Source organism: Homo sapiens, chromosome 4 (genome assembly GCF_000001405.40).
Source record: "Homo sapiens chromosome 4, GRCh38.p14 Primary Assembly".
Lineage (NCBI taxonomy): Eukaryota > Metazoa > Chordata > Mammalia > Primates > Hominidae > Homo > Homo sapiens.
Genome location: NC_000004.12, coordinates 87587136 through 87607673, shown reverse-complemented (window position 1 = coordinate 87607673; position 20538 = coordinate 87587136). Strand labels below are relative to the sequence as shown.

The window sequence follows — 20538 nt, the reverse complement described above, 5'->3', positions numbered from 1 at the left end:
TTTTTGTGTTACAATATTAAAGAAGGTGAAACACATAAGACCACTAATGCTATATCACTATGCAACAGTGGTATCTCCAGAAACTATATATACAAAAATATATGGTATTTATATACAAATAAAGCTTTATATGTAGGGAAAAAGTAAGGTTAAAAGGAAGTGAATTGAATGGGAAGGAAATTTGCCTTGAAGCTGTTTTCATAGTGAATGCTTTGTTTTTATTCATATAGCATGTTTACTTGGGCAGATTAAAGGGCCTAAGAACTTTTAACAAGGCTCGAGTCACTTATGGGAGTGACACCCTTACCCACACACACATTCATCAGTGGAGGTTGGTGAACTAAACCTGCCTTTCTTTTCCTTAATTTGAATTAACATGAATTATGGTTAGAGATTTCAATAGCCATCTATTAATAATTGAAAGAAAAATATAATGGATATACAACCTTTAAACAGAAGTATCATCCAACTTGATCTAATTGACATTTACAGACGACTTCATCCAACAACAGAAGAATAAACATTCTTTTCAAGTGTACCTGCACCATTTACCAAGATAGAACGTATTCTGAGCCCCAAAATGAATCTCAATAAATTTAAAAGAATTCAAGTCGTACAAATTATGTTTACTGACCACAATGGAAGGCAATCAGAAATCAATAACAAAAGAATTCTGGAAAACCGCAAGTATTTTAAGGCTAAGTGGAACACTCATAAATAGTCAATGGGTGAAAGAAGAAACCAAAAGGGAAATTCAAAATATATGGGATGACTGAAAATGAAAGCATAGCATATCAAAATCTGTGGGATGTCACTAAAGCAGTTATTTAGGATGAAATTATAGCACTAAATAACCATATATGAAGAGAAGAAGTTTTGAAACAATGACCTCATTTTCCACCAAAGAAGGAAAAATTAAGTTCAAAGTATGTAGAGAAAAGGAAATAATAAAGATCAGAACTGAAATTAATTAAATAGAAAACAGAAAAACAATAGAGACAGTCAGTGAAACCAAAGCTGATTCTTTGAGAAGTTCAATAAAATTTAGGAGATTCTTTCCAGACTAATGAGGGAAATAAAGGAGAAGACACAAATGAGCAATATCAGGAATGAGAGAAATGACAATTCTACAGATTTTATAGACATTCTATAAATATTCTATAAGGGATAATAAGGAAATACTAGGAACATCTTTATGTTAATAAATTAAAAACTTAGACAAAGTGGGTAGATTCCTTAAAACCAACAAAGCTCACTCAAGGAAAAATAGATAACTTCAATTGCCCCGTATCTATTAAAGAAATTAAATTCATAGTTTAAAACTTGCCCAGAGAGAAAACTTTGGGCCCAGATGGTTTCACTTGAGAGGCATTGGTTGTTCAGTGGTAGAATTCTTGCTGCCCAAATGGTTTCACTGACAAATTCTATGACGTATTTAAGGAAGGTATCATTCCAATCCTACACAAACTCCTCCAGAAAATTGAGAAGGAGAAAATACTTCACAGCTCATTATATGATGCCAACATTATCCCAATACCAAAACCAAAAATGTTATAAGCATATACTACTACTGACCTATATCCATCATAAATGTTAATACAAAATTTTTAAATATAATGTTAGTGAATCAAACCCAATAATATGTTTTTAAAAGATAATACATGATGAGCAAGTAAAATTTATTCCAGGTGTGCAAGGCTGACTTAACATTTAAAAATTAATCAACGTGGCTGGCGCAGTGGCTCACGCCTGTAATCCCAGCACTTTGGGAGGCCGAGGTGGACGGATCACGAGGTCAGGAGATCGAGACCATCCTGGCTAACACGGTGAAACCCCGTCTCTACTAAAAACACAAAAAATTAGCCGGGCGTGGTGGCAGGCACCTGTAGTCCCAGCTACTCGGTAGGCTGAGGCTGGAGAATGGCGTGAACCTGAGAGGCGGGGCTTGCAGTGAGCCGAGATCACACCACTGCACTCCAGCCTGGGCGACAGAGCGAGACTCCGTCTCAAAAAAAAAAAAAAAAGCAATTTAATTCACCATATTAACAAAGACAGAAAACCACATAATCTCATTGGCAAAGAAAAACATTTCAAAAATCCAACATTCACTTCTGATTTTTAAAATCTCACTAGACAAATAAAACACATTTCAAAAATTGACCATCCATTTCTGATTTTAAAAATCCCATTAGGCAAAGAAGAAACATTTCAAAAATCCAACATTCACTTCTGATTTTAAACACCTCTTTAGGCGGCTGGGCGCAGTGGCTCACCTGTAATCCTAGCACTTTGGGAGGCCGAGGTGGGCGAATAACTTGAGGTCAAGAGTTCGAGACCAGCCTGGCCAACATGATGAAACCCCGTCTCTACTACAAATACAAAAAAAATTTAGCTGGGCGCAGTGGCAGATTCCTGTAATCCCAGCAACTTGGGAGGCTGAGGCATGAGACTTGCTTGAACCCAGGAGGCGGAGATTGCAGTGAGCCGAGATCACACCACTGCACTCCATCCTGGGTGACAGAGCGAGACTCCGTCTCAAAAAAAAAAAAAAAAAAAAAAAAAAAAAAAAAAACTCATTAGGCAAATAAAATACATTTCAAAAATCCAACGTTCACTTCCGATTTTTAAAATCTCATTAAGCAAGGAAGAAACATTTCAAAAATCCAACATTCAGTTCTGATTTAAAAAATAAACAAAAGCTCTCAGCTATCTAAGAATAGAAGGGAACTTCCTCAACCTGATAAAAGGCATCTTTTGGTGCAAAAGTAATTGTGTTTTTTGCAATTACTTTTTTTTTTTTTATACTTTAAGTTTTAGGGTACATGTGCACAACGTGAAGGTTAGTACATATGTATTCATGTGCCATGTTGGTGTGCTGCACCCATTAACTCGTCATTTAACATTAGGCATATCTTCTAATGCTATCCCTCCCCCCACCCCACAACAGGCCCCGGTGTGTGATGTTCCCCTTCCTGTGTCCATGTGTTCTCATTGTTCAATTCCCACTTATGAGTGAGAACATGCGGTGTTTGGTTTTTTGTCCTTGCGATAGTTTGCTGAGAATGATGGTTTCCAGCTTCATCCATGTCCCTACAAAGGATATGAACTCATCATTTTTTATGGCTGCATAGTATTCCATGGTGTATATGTGCCACATTTTCTTAATCCAGTCTATCATTGTTGGACATTTGGCTTGGTTCCAAGTCTTTGCTATTGTGAATAGTGCCGCAATAAGTTTTATGACAAACCCTCAGCCAATATCATACTGAATGGGCAATTACTTTTAATGGCAAAACCGCACTTACTTTTGCACCAACCTAATAACATCATACTTAATGCTTACCTACTGAATGCTTTCCCCCAGTATCAGAAGCAAGGCAAATATATCTGCTCTCACCATTTCTATTCAATATTGTTCTTGAGTTTCTAAGAAAGAAAAGAAATAAAAGGCATTCAGATTGGAAAAGAAGAAGAAGTTAAATCGTCTTTATTTCGCGGACAATATGATCATCTATGTAGAGCATCCAAGTGAATATACAAAAAGGTTACTAGAACTAATAAGTGAGTTAAGTAAGGTTATAGGATATGATATCAATAATAAAAAAATTTCTATTTGCTAGCAATTAACAATCAAACATTTAAATTAAAAACAATCAGTTTATAATTTCATCAACAGTACAATATGTAGTGATAAATCTGAAGACTTGAACATTGAAAAACTGCAAATATTGCTGAGAGAAGTTAAAGACTATTTAAATAAATCAAGATCTATAACATGATAATGGGTCAAAAAACTCAATACTAAGATGTCAAGTCTCCAAAAGTTTATCTATAGATTCAATACAATGCCAATTAAAATCCATGAAGAAATTTGGAAAGTTATTCTAAAATTCTCATGGAAATGCAAGGGAATTAGAATAGCCAAAGTAATTTTTCAAAAGAAAAAGAGGGCTCATTAGGTTAGGTTAGACTCACTCAGGTTTTCCTTTAAGGTCAATTTATTAGTAAACTTAATTACATCTGCCTAATCACTTTTGCCACATAATAAGACATAACCATGGGAATGATATCTCATTGTATTTACAGGTTCCACTCCCACTCAAAGGGAAGGGGATTATATAAGGGTGAGGGACATTGGGGCTTATCTTAAAATTCTACTTACCACACGTTTTAATCTATAGTGACAGAAAATAGATCAGTGGATGCCTGAGGTCAAGGGGGAAGGAGTGGGAGGAAGGAGTTATAAAGGACCACAAGGAAACTTGAATGGAGACTTTTCATTGTCTTGATTGTGGTGATGGTTTCATGGCTGTTTGCCTACAACAAAACTTATCAAATTGTACACTTTAAATATGCGCAGTTTCTTGTGCATCTCAGCATTTATATCTCAGTAAAGCTGGTTTTGAAAAAAAGAAGTAATTAACCCGTTTCTGCCAGCTCCATTTCAAATCCTGTAAATTGAGAAGCTAAAACTAAGGCTTTATAGTAAGGAATTGCCAAAAGGAAACATAAACCCCAATTTGTTGTGGAAACTGAACAATTACCTAAAATTTAAGATCAGAACTCAGAAATCTACCTCAATTTAGTAACTAAGTAAGTTCTTTAAAAACCCTTAATTAGAATCAATTACTCTGTTCCTAAGGAAAGAGTTTGAAATTGAACTCTTCACCTAGTTAGCTATTCTATTACCATGATTTTGAACCATTTGCCTTCCTGTTTTCTTCAATTTGGATGAACATCACTGAGCCAAATAGCAAAACTAAGGCAAGAATAGTAATAGCAGCATAGCCACAGAGGATCATCCAACTCAAATTACTTTAAATTGGTGCAAGACCTGTTCACAAAACCAGCAGAAGGCATTTGAGTAGAAGTTCACTGCATATGCAGATTTACAACATCCCTGCTGGGTGTCTTTGATTGGCGGAAGTTTAAAAGGCAAAAATCTTCAATTCAATTTCTCAATATTGGATTAATGACACTGCAATTCAGAAGACAGATACAATATTAATTTGGGAAATACGAGTAACATTTAAATTGGGGGATTTTTAGTAAAGCAGACTTCCCTTCATAATATGGATGGGTCTCATGCAGCCAGCTGAAGGTCTGAATAAAACAAAAGACTGATCTCCCTCAGGCAAGGAGGAATTCTTCAACAGCCAGTTTTGAACTTGAACCACAACATCAGCTCTTCCCTAGGCCTCCAGTCTATCTGCTCATTCTGCAAGTTTTGGGCTTACCAGCCTCAAAAACCAAGTGTGGGAACTCTAAACAATCCTCTCTATGTATATACATGCATCCAATTGGTTCTGCTTCTCAAGAGAACCTAGAATAATATATTCACCAAGTCCAAGTCCTGTGCTTGTCATAAACTTTCTTAGAATTGTTGGAAAGTGATATATTTTAAATTAAACCCCAAAACTTTGATACGTTATTTTATTCAGTATTATAAGTAAATTACTAATCTTTGGTAAAAACAGAAGTTTAATGGCTTCCATTCTTACTCCCATCGTGGGTGTTGAGCCTCCTAATAGACTCATTTGTCACCAGTCTCTGCTTCTGCCTATCCCAAATCTCCCATATAAATACCAAAAAAAACTTTCTAAAATCAAATCTAATTATGGCACTACTTTGATTCAAACTTTTCAGTAGTTGTTTAGTCTGGCTTTGAACTTCTCAAATGATCCAGCTTCAGCTTGGGCCACTCACTCTCCTCTGAGAACTCAAAGAAGCTGAAGCACAATCTGTTCTGGGAATATCACAGAGATGCAGGCCTGAGATATAGCCAGCATCTGATTTCCAGGCGTCCTGTATATACAAGAGGTGTCCTGTACTAAATGATTTTGTCCTGAGTCCTATATTGGCTTTGCCAGGATGGCTTAAATGTCCTGTATTCAGTTGTTTTTCCAATAACTACAAAAAGTTTGTAGTTAGTTTTCTGCCACAGTTATTGGTGCTTGAATCTTAAATGGTAACACTAGCTAAAAAGTCATACCTCCACAAATAAAAATCTGGACAATCCTTTAAGATTCCTCTTGCAGGCTTGGCTGAGGACAGACCAAAAGGGGGAACTGAAAATTAAAATACTTATTTTTCATACTCAAAAGAGGAAGACTGTCCTTTGGCTAATGGCCCAACTCATGAACAAATAACCACCATTAATTAGCAGTAACAGATCTGTACACATGCTCTGAAAATCAGCCAATCAGCAACTTCCTTGCACCAGTAACTGTTTCCAAAAGTTAGGAAATCAATGGCCCAAGCTCTGGAATTCAGCTAATCATGACAAGTCTATGCCTCTAGATAATAGCCAATCAGTAAATGCCTTACTCTAGTGACCACATTAAAACGTCTGAAAGTCCATCAATTCCTGAATGTCAGGCTTCCCTAACCAACAATTTGGAAAGACTGTGTCTTGCTACAGATCTACCTTGTAGGCAAAGGGAAAGTTCACCTTTTTTACATCTGATACTGAGTTCAATTTATTGCTAGTTGGTCTTTCAACATTTCAGTCCCTGTTTATGATTAGCTATGAGTTCTGATTTGTGAGTGACATATTATTGTTACTGTTAGGTTATCAAATTCAGTCCTTTCAATTCTAGTGGTGGCTGCTCTTCGTTTGAATTTGTGTATCTTTGAACATCAAAACGCCAAAATGTAAGTGTAAATTTTGTAATAAATTTTCTGAACAGTGGATATTTATTAAATGAGGGAAAAAATCCTCTGGAAACTGTTAATATTTGTGCATTTCCAAATTGTTCATTTAGTATAAAAAATTATGAAATGTTAGATATAAACCAACAGATGCTAACTAAACATAAGAGATACATGATTTCATCAACTACTACCAAAAATGTGATAAAATAATAAATTTTTAAGATAAATTCAGATAAGGAAGATAAACTAATCACAGCAGAAGTTTTGATGGCTTTTCTTAGTTCAGGCTGATATAACAAAATACCATAAACTGGGTGGTTTATCAACAACAGAAATTTATTTCTTACAGTTCTAGGGCTGGGATGCCCAAGATCAAGGAATTGGCAGATTCAGTGTCTGGTGAGAACTCCCTTCCTCATAGGTGGCCCCTTCTTGCTGAGTCTTCACATGGTAGAAGGGGCAATCAAGCGCCTTCATTCAGGGCTCTTTTGAAAGGGAACTAATCCCACCGAAAGCAAAGCATGACCTAATAACCTTCTAAAGACACCATCCCTTAATTACTATTGCATTAGAGATTAGGTTTCCACATACGAATTTTGCAGGGGGACACAAATATTCAGACCACAGCATATCTCACATAAACTATGTGAGATACTGTTCTATTCATCATGCTAGTTGTTGCCTAAACATCTTGTTTTTTTCATTGTATTATTGTTCTATAGGCCTTGTTGGATTTATGCTTTAAGGAGGTTCTGTTTTGGTATATTTTGAAGTTTTGTTTCAAGATTCAGAACTCCTTTTAGCATTTCTTGTAGTGCAGGCTTGATGGTGGCAATTTCTCTCAGCATTTGTTTGTCTGAAAAAGACTTTATCTCTCCATTTATGAAGCTTAGTTTTGCTGGATACAAAATTCTTGATTAAAAATTATTTTGGTTAAGGAGGCCAAAGATAGGAACCCAATCCCTTTTGGCTTATAAGATTTCTGCTGAGAAATTAACCGTTAATCTGATAAATTTTCCTTTATGGGTTACCTGATGATTTTGTCTCACAGCTCTTTAGATTCTTTCCTTCGTCTTGGCTTTAGATAACCCGATGACTATGTGCCTAGGTGACGGAATTTCCCAGGAGTTCTTTGAGCTTCTTGTATTTGGATGTCTAGATCTCTAGCAAGGCCAGGGACGTTTTCTTCAATTATTTTCTCAAATAAGTTTTCCAAACTTTTAGATTTATCTTCTTCCTCAGGAACACCAACTGTTCTTAGGTTTAACCATTTAACACAATCTGAAATTTTTTGGAGATTTGTTCATTTTTTTAATCCTTTTTTTTTGTCTGATTAGGTTAATTCAAAAGCCTTGTCTTTGAGCTCTGAAGTTCTTTTTTTCTACTTGTTCTAGTCTATTGTTGAAACTTTCCACTGCATCTTGTATTTCTCTAAGTGTGTCTTTCATTTCCAGAAGTTGTGATTGATTTTCTTTAGGATATCTATTTCTCTGGATAATTTTTTATCCATATCTTGTATTTTTTATTTCTTTAAGTTGATTTTCACCTTTCTCTGGTATCTCCTTGAGTAGCTTAATAATCAACCTTCTGAGTTCTTTATCTGGCAATCCAGAGATTTCTTCTTGGTTTGAATTCATTTTTGAGGAGCTAGTGTGATCTTTGAGGATGTTATACAACACTATTTTGTCATATCACCATAATTACTTTTCTGGTTTCTTCTCATTTGGGTAGATTAGTTCTTAAATTGTTCTTGAATTTATTTTTGATTGGACTGTGGTTTTTTTGGGAGGGGGTTATTGTTGTTTTTCCCCTCTTAAGGATCAGATTTAATATTTATTTTAGCCTAACATGATTGTTGGTGCTTGTAAGGATGAAGTCTGTATATGAGAACCTTAGTTACAGAGAGTCTTTGTGCACTGGTTTTCCCAGATACTGGATGTAGTAGTTATATTTTTGGTGTGTGGGTGAGTTCACTGTCTCCTATGTAGTTGGCAGGTCATCAAGACAGAAAGTCAACAAAGAAACAATGGACTTAAACTATATCCTAGAACAAATGAACTTAACAGATATTTACAGAACATTCTACCCAACAACTGCAGAATGCACATTTTTTTCATCAGCACTTAGAACCTTCTCCAAGATAGCATATGTGACAGACCACAAAATAAGTCTCAATAAATTTAAGAAAATCCAAATCATATCAAGTATCCTCTTAGACCACAGTGGAATAAAACTGGAAATTAACTCCAAAAAGAATCCTCAAAAATAGACAAATACATGGAAATTAAATAATCTGCTCTTGAATGATCTTTGGGTCAACAATGAAATCAAGATGGAAATTTTAAAATCTTTGAGCTAAACAATAATAATGATACAACTTATCAAAACCTTTGGGATATAGCAAAAGCAGTGTTAAGAGGAACGTTCATAGCATTAAATGCCTACATCAAAAAGTCTGAAAGAGCACAAATAGACAATCTAAGGTGACACTTCAAAGAACTAGAGAAAGAAAACAAATCAAACCCAGCATAAGAAAAGAAATAACAAAGATCAGGACAGAATTAAATGAAATTTAAACAACAACAGCAAAAATATATAAAAGATAAATGAAACAAAAAGCTGGTTCTTGGAAAAGATAAACAAAATTGATAGACCATTAATGAGAATAACTGAGAAAAGAAGACAGAAGATCCAAACAAACTGAATTAGAAATGAAATGAGAGATATCACAACTGATACCACAGAAATAAAAGATCATTTAAGGCTATTATGAACACCTTATGTGCACAAACTAGAAAATCTAGAGATGTATAAATTCTTGGAAATATACAACCCTCCTAGATTAAATCTGGAAAAAATAGAAACTCTGAACAAATCAATAACAAGTAGCAAGATTTAAAAAGTAATTTAAAAAATATCAAGAAAAAAAAGTCCATGACCAGATGGATTCACAGTTGAATTCTGTCAGACATTCAAAGAAGAATTAGTACCAAAAATACTGAAACTACTGCAAAAGATGAAGAAAGAATGAATCCTTCCTAAATCATTCTATGAAGCCAGTATCACCCTACTGCCTAAACCAGGAAACGACATAACAAAAAAAAAGAAAACTACAGGCAAGTATTTCTGATGAACATAGATGCAAAAATCCTTAAAACACTTGCTCACCAAATCAATCAACAGCATATCAGAAAGATAACACATCATGATCAAGTGAGTTTCATACCAGGGATGCAGGGATGATTTAACACACACAAGTCAATAAATGGGATACATAACATAAACTGAAGTAAAAACAAAAACCATATGATCATTTCAATAGATGCAGAAAATGGATTAAATGGATTTAACAAAATCCAGCATTGTTTTATGATAAAAACCCTCAGCAAAATTGCCATAGAAGGAACATACCTCAAGGTAATAAAAGCCACCTATGACACACCCACAGCCAACATTATACTGAATTGGGAAAAATTGAAAGCATTTCCCCTGAGAACTGGAACAAGACAAGGATGCCCACTTTTACCACTTCTATTCAACATAGTACTGAAAGTCCTAGCCAGAGCAATCAGACAAGAGAAAGAAACAAAGAGCATCCAAATCAGTAAAGAGGGAAGTCAAACTGTCACTGTTCACCGATGACATAATCCTTTATTTAGAAAACCCTAAAGACTTATCCAAAAAGCTCCTAGATCTAATAAATGAATTCAGTAAAGTCTCAGGATACAAAAACCAATGTACACAAATCAGTAGCACTGGTATACATCAACAACAAACAAGCTGAGAATCAAATCAAGTACTCAATCCCTTTTACGACAGCTGCAAAAAAATAAAATATTTAGGAATATATCCAACCAAGGATGTGAAAGATCTCTGTAAGGAAAATTATAAAACACTACTGAAAGAAATCATTGATGACACAAACAAAAGGAAATACATCCCATGCTCATGGATGAGTAGAATCAATTTTGTGAAAATGACCATACTGCCAAAAACAGTCTACAGATTCAATGCAATTCCCATCAAAATACTGTCATTGTTCTTCATAGAATTAGAAAAAAACAATCCTAAAATTCATATGGAAAGAAAAAGAGCCCACATAGCCAAAGCAAGACTAAGAAAAAAGAACAAGTTTGGAGGTATCACATTGCCTGACTTCAAACTATACTACAAGGCTATAGTCACCAAAATAGCATGATACTGTCATAAAAACAGGCACATAGACCAATGGAACAGAATAGAGAACCCAGAAATAAAGCCAAATACTTACAGCCAACTGATTTTCAACAAAGCCTATGAAAACATAAAGAGGGGAAAGGACACCCTATTCAACAAATCATGCTGGGATAGTTGGCAAATTACATGTAGAAGAATGAAACTCTATCCTCATCTCTCACTTTATAAAAAATCAACTCAAGATGGATCAAAGCCTTAAATCTAAAACCTGAAACCATAAAAACTCTAGAAGGTAACACTGGAAAAACTCTTCTAGACATTGGCATAGGAAAAGAGTTCATGACCAAGAATTCAAAAACAAATGCAACAAAATACAAATAAATAGATTAATTAAACTAAAAATCCTCTGCATAGCAGAAGAAATAATCAGCAGAGTAAACAGACAATCCACAGACTGGGATAAAATCTTCACAAACTATGCATCTGATGAAGGACTAATATCCAGAATCTGCAAGGAACTCAAACAAATCACCAACAAAAAAACAAATAACCCCATCAAAAAGTGGGCAAAGGACATGAATAGACAATTCTCAAAAGAAGAAGATATACAAATGGCCAATAAACATTAAAAAAATGCTCAACATCACTAATTATCAGGGAAATGCAAATCAAAACCACAATGAGATACCACCTCACTCCTGTAAGAATGGCCATATTCAAAAAATCAAAATACAATAGATGTTATCATGGTGGTGAAAAGGGAATGCTTTTACACTACTGGTGGGAATGTAAACTAGTACAACCACTATGGAAAACAGTATGGAGATTCTTTAAAGAACTAAAAGTAGAACCACCATTTGATCCAGCAATCCCACTACTGAGTATCTACCCAGAGTAAAAGAAGTCACTATATGAAAAAGATACTTGCACATGCATGTTTATAGCAGTGCAATTTACAATTGTAAAAATATGGAGCCAGCCTAAATGCCCATTAACCAAAGAGTGGATAAAGAAAATGTGGTATATATACACCATGGAATACTACTCAGCCATAAAAAGGAATGAAATAATGACATTTACAGCAATCTGGATGAAATTGGAGACCATTATTCTAAGTGAAGTAACTCAGGAATGGAAAACCAAATATTGTACGTTCTCACTTATAAGTGGGGGCTAACCTATGAAGATGCAAAGGCATAAGAATGATATAATGAACTTTGGGGACTCAGTGGGAAGACTGAGAGGGGGTGAGGGATAAAAGGCTACACACTGTGTACATTGTACATTGCTCGGGGGATGGGTGCACCAAAATCTTATAAGTCACCACTAAAGAACTTATCCATGTAACCAAAAACCACCTGTTCCCCCAAAATTATTGAAATGCTAAAAAAAAATTCTTTTTAAAGAAAGTAGAGGCAAAAATAAAACCAGTTCCAGAAGACATTATGTTAAGTGAAATAATCCAGGTACAGAAAGACAAATATTTCATATTTTCACTCATAGAGGTAGAGAGTGGAATAATGATGGCCAGAGGCTGGGAAGGGTAGTCAAGAGGAGGAATAAAAGGGAGATTGGTTAGTGGGCACACAAATACAATTAGAACGAATAAGATCTAGTATTTAGTAACACAATAAGGTGACTATAAGTAGCAAAAATATATTGTGTATTTTAAAATAGCTAAAAGAGTAGAATTGGAGTATTCTTAATACAAAGAAATAATAGATGCTTGAGGTAATAGATACCTCAATTACCCTGATTTGATTATTACCCATTGTATGCCTGTATCAAAACACCATATGTACCCCATAAATATATTCAACTATCATGTACCCCTAATAATTAAAAAAATAAATAAAACCAGTTCCTGGAATGGCTGGTATTGGAATATCATCCTCTGTCAAGTTTTCTGATTCAACCCTCCCTCCTCCACCTCCAGAAAAAATTATCAAGTGCCAGGATGAAAGATACTGCAATAATTTTTAAAATGTAATAGTTCCATTTTCTGTTACAGAGCTTATTGAAGACCTAATGCCTTAAATTTTTACAATATAGCTAAGAATGCAAGTAATTATAAAGTGAAAAACATGTTCCCTTTGCTTGTGCAATATTTGTCATATGAAAAAGGGTTACTTTTTTTTTTTTATTTCCATAGGTTTTGGGGGAATAGGTGGTGTTTGGTTACATGAGTAAGTTCTTTAGTGGTGATTTGTGAGATTTTGGTGCACCCATCTCCCAAGCAGTATACACGGAATAAAAAGAGTTACTTTTAAGATTACTGTAACATCTCTTCCAGATGAGACTTGAAAATTTAAAGCAAATTTTCGCAAAGCCTCTATTATTTACTAAGTTAAGAATTAATAAGAAAAATCGTACTTCTTTTTGTGGTGATAATATGAATAAAAATTTTGACACAAATTTTGATATTTGTATTCATATTATGGATATTTGCATAAAAGTGCAGATAATGTGGCCGGGTGTGGTGGCTCATGCCTGTAATCCTGGCACTTTGGGAGACCAAAGCGGGTAGATCACAAGGTCAAGAGGTCAAGACCATCCTGGCCAACCTGGTGAAACCCCGTCTCTACTAAAAATACAAAAATTAGCTGGGCGTGGTGGCACTGCCTGTGGTCCCAGCCACTCGGGAGGCTGAGGCAGGAGAATCACTTGAACCCGGGAGGTGGAGGTTGCAGTGAGCCTAGATCGCACCACTGCACTCCAGCCTGGCGACAGAGACAGACTCCGTCTAAAAAAAAAAAAAGTGCAGATAGTGTTTATTCAAAGTCGAAGCAAAACATGAATAGAAGGCATTGACTGTCTGACTATATTCCAAATAATGCTGTTGAAACTGTGCTTAATGTTCTTTCTATAGACATCGAAGTCATTGCCATAAAATTATTCCCCTACTTCAGCATTTACACTGTTCAGGGTGATTAAAAAATTTTTGTGATTCTGTTGGCCTGCAGCAGTCTTCAATTCTCTTGCATTCAGAAACCCATTGGGTCTCTTGAACAAAGGCATTTGAGAGAATCCCCAGGTTATCTGAAGCATTTAAATAAATCATATTTTAATTCTAAAGAAAAGACTCCCCAAATTTTTGTTGACTTCTTAACTAATCCATTGAATGAGGCTTATTTATTTTTTAATCATTCTTGTCAATATCTCTTTAACAATATGATTATTCAGATTGAAAGAGCTACCAGTGTTATTGAAGTACTTCAATCCTTAAAGAACATTGTTGAATGCATTAAAGAAAGAATTGCAGAAAAAAATAGACCTTTACGTGTCAAGACTGTTCTTAAAAGGAACATTATTTATGAGCAGGAAAAGAAATTCCAACTTGAAATGAATAATTATTACAGCACTATTCATGGCTGCTACCTTGTGAAATAATTTCATTCCCTGAAGAGCTTTATATAAAACCATCAATTATTCTGCCCTTTTATTGATACATAATATTTGTACACATTTATGGGGTACATGTGACAGTTTCATGCTTGCATACAGTGTGTAATGATCAAATCAGGGTATTTAGGATATACATTGCCTTGAACATTTGTCACTTTTTGTGTTGGGAACATTTAAAGTCTTCTGGCTATTTCAATATATGTAATATACTGCTGCTAACTATAGTCACCCTACTGTGCTATCAGTAAGGTGATACACAGAACATTTTCCTTCTGTGTAGTTTTATGTTAACTCATTAACTAATCTCTCTTCATCCCCTACATCCCACCCTTCCCAGTGTCTGGCAACTATCATTCTCTGCTCTATCTCCATGTGATCAAACTTTTCAGTTTCCACATGTGAGTGAGAACATATGATATTTGTCTTTCTGCATCTGGCTTATTTCACTTAACATAATGACCTCCACTTTCATCCATTTTGCTGCAAATGACAGGAATCCATTCTTTTTTATGGCTAAGTAGTATTCCATTTCATACATATAACACATTTTTAAATCCATTCATCCATTGATGGGCATTTAGGTTGATTCCATATCTTGGCTATTGTGAATAGTGCTGCAATAAATGTGAGGGTGCAGGTATCCCTTTGATACACTGATTTCTTTTCCCTTGGATAAATACCCAGTAGTGAGATTCTGGATCACATGGTAGTTCTATTTTTAGTGTTTTGAGAAACTTTTGTACTGTTTTCCATAATGGCTGTACTAATATATTTCCACTGTGTATAAGAGTTCTCTTTTCTCCACATCCTTGTCAGCAGTACTTATTTTTTACCTTTTAATAATAGCAGTTCTAACTGGGGTAAGATGATATCTTATTGTGCTTGTGATTTGCATTTCTCTGATGATTAGTGATGTTGAGCATGTTTTCATATATCCGTTGGCCATCTGTTTGTCTTCTGAGAAATGTCTGTTCAGATGATCCTTTGCCCACATTTTAATGGAATTGTTTGGATTTTTGCTGTTGAGTCTTTCGAGTTCTTTGTATATTCTAGATATGAGTCCCTTGTCAGATGAACAGTTTGCAAGTATTTTCTCCCATTCAACAGGTTGTCTCTTCACTCTGTTGATTGTTTCCTTTGCTGTGCAGAAGTTTTTTGAGTTTAATATAGTCTTATTTGTCTATTTCTGTTTTTGTTGGCTGTGATTTTGATGTCTTAAAGTTTTTGCCTAGACCAATGATGTCCTGAAGCATTTCTCCTATGTTTTCTTCTAGGAGTTTTATAGTTTCAGTTCTTACATTTAAGTATTTAATTCATTTTGAGTTGATTTTTTATGGAGTGAGAGAAAGTAGTCTAGTTTCATTTTTCTGCATATAGATATTCAGTTTTCCCAGCATATTTATTAAAGAGGGTGTCCTTTTCCCAATGTATGTCCTTGGCAACTTTGTCAAAAATCAGTTAGCTGTAAATATGTAGATTTATTTTTAGGTTCCCTATTCTGTTCCATTGGCCTATGTGTCTTTTTATAATAATACCAGGTTGTTTTGGTTACTATAGCTATGTAGTATATTTTGAAGTCAGGTAGTATGATGCTTCCAGCTTTGTTCCTTTTGCTCAGGATTGCTTTGTCTATTTTTGGTCTTTTCTGGTTCCATACAAATTTTAGGATTTTTTTTTCTATTTCTTTCTGTGAAGAATCTTGCCGGTTCAGTGTAGTAAAGATAAAATTTAAAGAAATAAAATTTTAAAAATCAAGAATGTTATTGGTATTTTGATAGGGATTGCATTGAATCTGTAGATTGTCTTGGGTAGTATCGTAATTTCACAATATTAATTCTTCCAATTCATGAATATGGGATGACTTTCCATCTGTTTGTGTCCTTTGCAATTTCTTTCATCAGTGTTTTATAGTTTTCTCTGTAGAGGTCTTTCACCTTCTTGGTTAAATTTATTCCTCGGTATTTTATTTCTTTGTAGCTATTGTAAATGGGATTGCCATCTTGATTTCCTTTTTAGCTAATTCATTGTTGGTGTATAGAAATGCTACTGATTTTTGTATGTGGATTTTGTAAGCTGAAACTTTACTGAATTCATTTATCAGTCATTCTGCTTTTAGATAAGTCAACCTCTCAGTATCCAATAGCTTTGAGAGGAAAGACATTAAAAGAAAATAAATTAATCTGAAAAGGTTTTCACTGATTTTCAACTGGCATCAGTATGGCACACAATCAGAACAGAAATATAAAATCAAGCTTCCTGAAGCAGTTAGAACATTATTTCTCATAATTTTTCCAAGACTAGGAAGAGTTTATTGTCCCTACATGCAAAACAATACACTAATTCATAAAAATTTTTAGACAAAGAAAAGGACTTAGGAAAATAAGATAAAAATGGAAACATTACAGTAGTGCTTTTCCAACTTTTTTTTAAATCATAGGACACAGTAAGAAATACATTTTATGTCACAATCCAATATTATGTGTGTGTGTGTGTGTGTGTGTGTGTGTGTGTAGGGTTATCCCTCGCTATCCTCTGAGGATTGATTCCAGGACCACCCAAAGATACCAAAATCTGTGGATGCTCATGTCCTGTATGCAAAAATGATATAGTATATGCATATAACCTATGTACATCCTCCAGTGTAATTTAAATCATCTCTAGATGACTTATAACACCTAATACAATGTAAATGCTATGTAAATCGTTGTTATTCTGTATTTTTTAATTTCTATTCTTTGTTATTGTTGTATTTTTAAATTTTATTCCAAACATTTTCTATCACAGTTGGTTGCATCCACGGATGCTAAAACCATGGATATGGAAGGCTAGCCGTATATATACATATACATATAGTCAATCCTCACTATTCACAGATTCCATATTTGCTCATCTGCCTACTTGTTAACATTTACTTGTAATCCAAAATACTTGCAAAGATTTTGTGGTAAGTCAGGAATATTCTCATGTGCAGAGCAGCAAAAAATTTGAGTAGCCCTACGTGGATGTTCCCAACTAAGGTCAAGCAAGGTAACACTCAGCCTTCTGGTTTCTAGTTCTCCTATGGTAAACAAGTGTCCTTTTTGCAGTTTATTTAATACCACTTTCTTTGTTTTGGCTTTTTTCTTTCTTTCTTTCTTTCTTTCTTTCATTTTTTTTGGTGATTTCCCTGTCTGAAGTGGCCCCAAAACATAGTGCTAAAATACTGTCTAGTGTTTAAAAGCACAAGAAGGCTGTGATGTGCCTCACAGAAAAACATAGACTTGTTAGATGAGCTTCATTCAGGCATGAGTTATAGTGCTATGTGAGTGAGTTCAATGTTAATGAATCAACTATATATATATATATATGATATATACACATATATATTAAATAAGGTGTCTTTAAAAAGAACAGACATAAAACAAGATTATATACTGACCAATTTACTATAAGACCAATAGGTTCACATGCCCCCTGTGACAGCAACAGACCAATTACACTGAGTAACAGACAAGTTACACTGAGACAGCAGCATCTGCAGCAGAGAAAGAGTTCAATGATCACAGGGTGCTGAATGTGGAGATGGAATGAGACCCTGAAATTCATCTCCCTGAGGAGTTCTGGGCTAGGATTTTTAAAGAGATTGTGGAAGGAAAATTGGGGTCATTGATTGGTTGGGGTAAGGGGGATGAAATCATCAGTATGTGGAAATCACATTCTTTACTGAGTCAGCTTCTGTGGAGTCCTTCAGACCAGCTGACATCAGTAGTTTCATTGGTATGCAGGACTGGAAGAATAACTCAAATGAAAAATAGATCAGAGAGCAAGATGACCTCATGGTTAATGCTGAATGTGCTGCAAGCTTAGCTTATTTTCATTTCCCACTCTCTTCTTCCCTGATTAATTTTATAAAGTTTATAAGGATGGTTTCTAACTTACACAAATGTCATAACTAGAGGCTTGTAGGACCCTAACTCTGTATTTCCTCGGTATTAGTTAATTCAGTGTTCAAGGCAACTTTACGGACCATAATTTCTTAGTAACAAGAATCAACTCTGTGTGTGTGTCTGTGTGTGTGCATCAGCAACAATTTTCATGAAATGTAATACCATTACTGTGTGACACACATTGATAATTTATATTATGTTTCTCTTTTTAATGCTGATTGTAGCAGTTTCAACTCCCTAAATTGGTTTTAGGACCCATTAATAGGTCATGATGTGCAACTGGAAAACATTGAGATACTCCAACACACACAGAAAGAAAAAATTTTTCTCAGGTTAGAAAATAAAATCAGTGTTAAAAGGTTATAGAAAAAATAATGGGCCAAGTTTTATGACTGCCTTCTTAAGAAATTTTAAGAATGAGAGCAGTAAGTTCTTAGGTTTTTATTATTTTTGATCCTTTAGATGCCATGTTACTTTGTATTTTCCTTTTGAATATGTACCAGCTGTTGAATATAAGAATCATTTAATTCATGAACACCATTTCTCTTTCTGACATTTGACGGAGTTGATAATCTTCTGGAGATGAAGGAAAAAAGTTTGTTTTGGGATCCAGTTTGATGCAAGAAGGCCAGAAAATTTTCACAGATGAAAAAGTGGGTAATTATTCCTTGCATGTGAAACAAGACCGTCTTTTAGCGCTTTTCAGCAAATGTTTGACTGCAATAGTCCTGTGTGGGCTATTGGTTTGAAGGGGCAACGGCAGGATTGCTCAGGCTTCATCCTGATGGGTTATCGGCCCACTGGGGGATTCAGTTACAATTAGTCTGTTCTGCTATAGTAAAGGAAGAATGTCTATTATGATTATTAATTAGTTGTTAGTAACACTGTAAGGATAGACTATGAAGCCAAGAAAAATAAGCCCCAAAATTTCAGTGGCTTATAGTATAATAAAGGCTTATTATTGCTCTTGTCATAATTCAATAGAGACCCAGGTATCTCTCCTTAGTCAGTGACTCTGGGGCCCAGGCTGTTTCCATCTTGTCGGTCCACCATCCTGCAGCTTCGAGGCCACCCTGGCATCACATACATGAAAGATGGAGAACAGAAGACACATCGCATAAAAGACTATGCTGGATAATGTAGAGATCAGGCCTGGAAGTGGTTCTTTACTTTTGTCCATATTTTGATGGTCAGAACCCAGTCACAGGCCAACCCAACTCCAAGAGAAGCTGGGAAATGTGGAGGAGCACTCAGTTATGGATGAGCACTAATAATCTCTGTCACAGGCAGAAAAGCCTACATATCAATAGGGACATTTGTGCAAGGGATCAGTGTCTTGATTGAGTAGGTCTGGCTGAGGACGCTTTTATTTTATTTATTTATTTTTTTATTTTACTTTAATTTCTGGGATACATGTGCTGAATGTGCAGGTTTGTTACATAGGTATACATGTGCCATGGTGGTTTGCTGCACCTATCAACCTGTCATCTGGGTTTTAGGCCCCACATGCATTAGGTATTTGTCCTAGGGCTCTCCCTCTCCTTTCCCCCCACCCACCAACAGGCCCCAGTGTGTGATGTTCCCCTTCCTATGTTCATGTGTTCTCATTGTTCAACTCCCACTTATGAGTGAGAACATGCGGTGATTGGTTTTCTGTTCCTATGTTAGTTTGCTGAGAATGATGGTTTCCAGCTTCATCTACGTCGCTGCAAAGGATATGAACTCATTCTTTTTTATGGCTGCATAGTATTCCATGGTGTATATGTTCCACATTTTCTTTATCCAGTCTTTCATTGATGGGCATTTGGGTTGGTTCCAAGTCTTTGCTATTGTAATTAGTGCTGCAGTAAACATATGTGTGCATGTGTCTTTAAAGTAGAATTATTTATAATCCTTTGGTTATATACCCAGTAATAAGATTGCTGGGTCAAATGTTATTTCTAGTTCTAGATCCTTGAGGAATCGCCACAGTCTTCCACAATGGTTGAACTAATTTACACTCCCACTAACAGTGGAAAAGTGTTTCTATTTCCGCAAATCCTCACCAGTATCTGTTGTTTCCTGACTTTTTAATGATCGCCATTCTAACTGGCGTGAGATGGTATCTCATTGTGGTTTTGATTTGCATTTCTCTAAATACCGGTGATGATGAGCTTTTTTTCATGTTTGTTGGCCACATAAATGTCTTCTTTTGAGAAGTGTCTGTTCATATCCTTCACCCACTTTTTGATGGGGTTGTTTTTTTCTTGTAAACTTGTGTCAGTTCGTTGCAGATTCCGGATATTAGCCCTTTGTCAGACGGATAGATTGCAAAAATTTTCTCCCATTCTGTAGGTTGCATGTTCACTCTGATGATAGTTTCTTTTGCTGTGCAGAA

At 35.3% G+C, this 20538-nt stretch overlaps 1 long non-coding RNA gene across 1 annotated transcript in view; it reads left to right on the top strand.

Annotated features, from left to right (window-relative positions):
• DMP1-AS1 (DMP1 and DSPP antisense RNA 1) overlaps nt 1–20538 on the top strand; it is a 164356-nt gene that overhangs the window by 124741 nt on the left and 19077 nt on the right. The window lies entirely within an intron of this gene.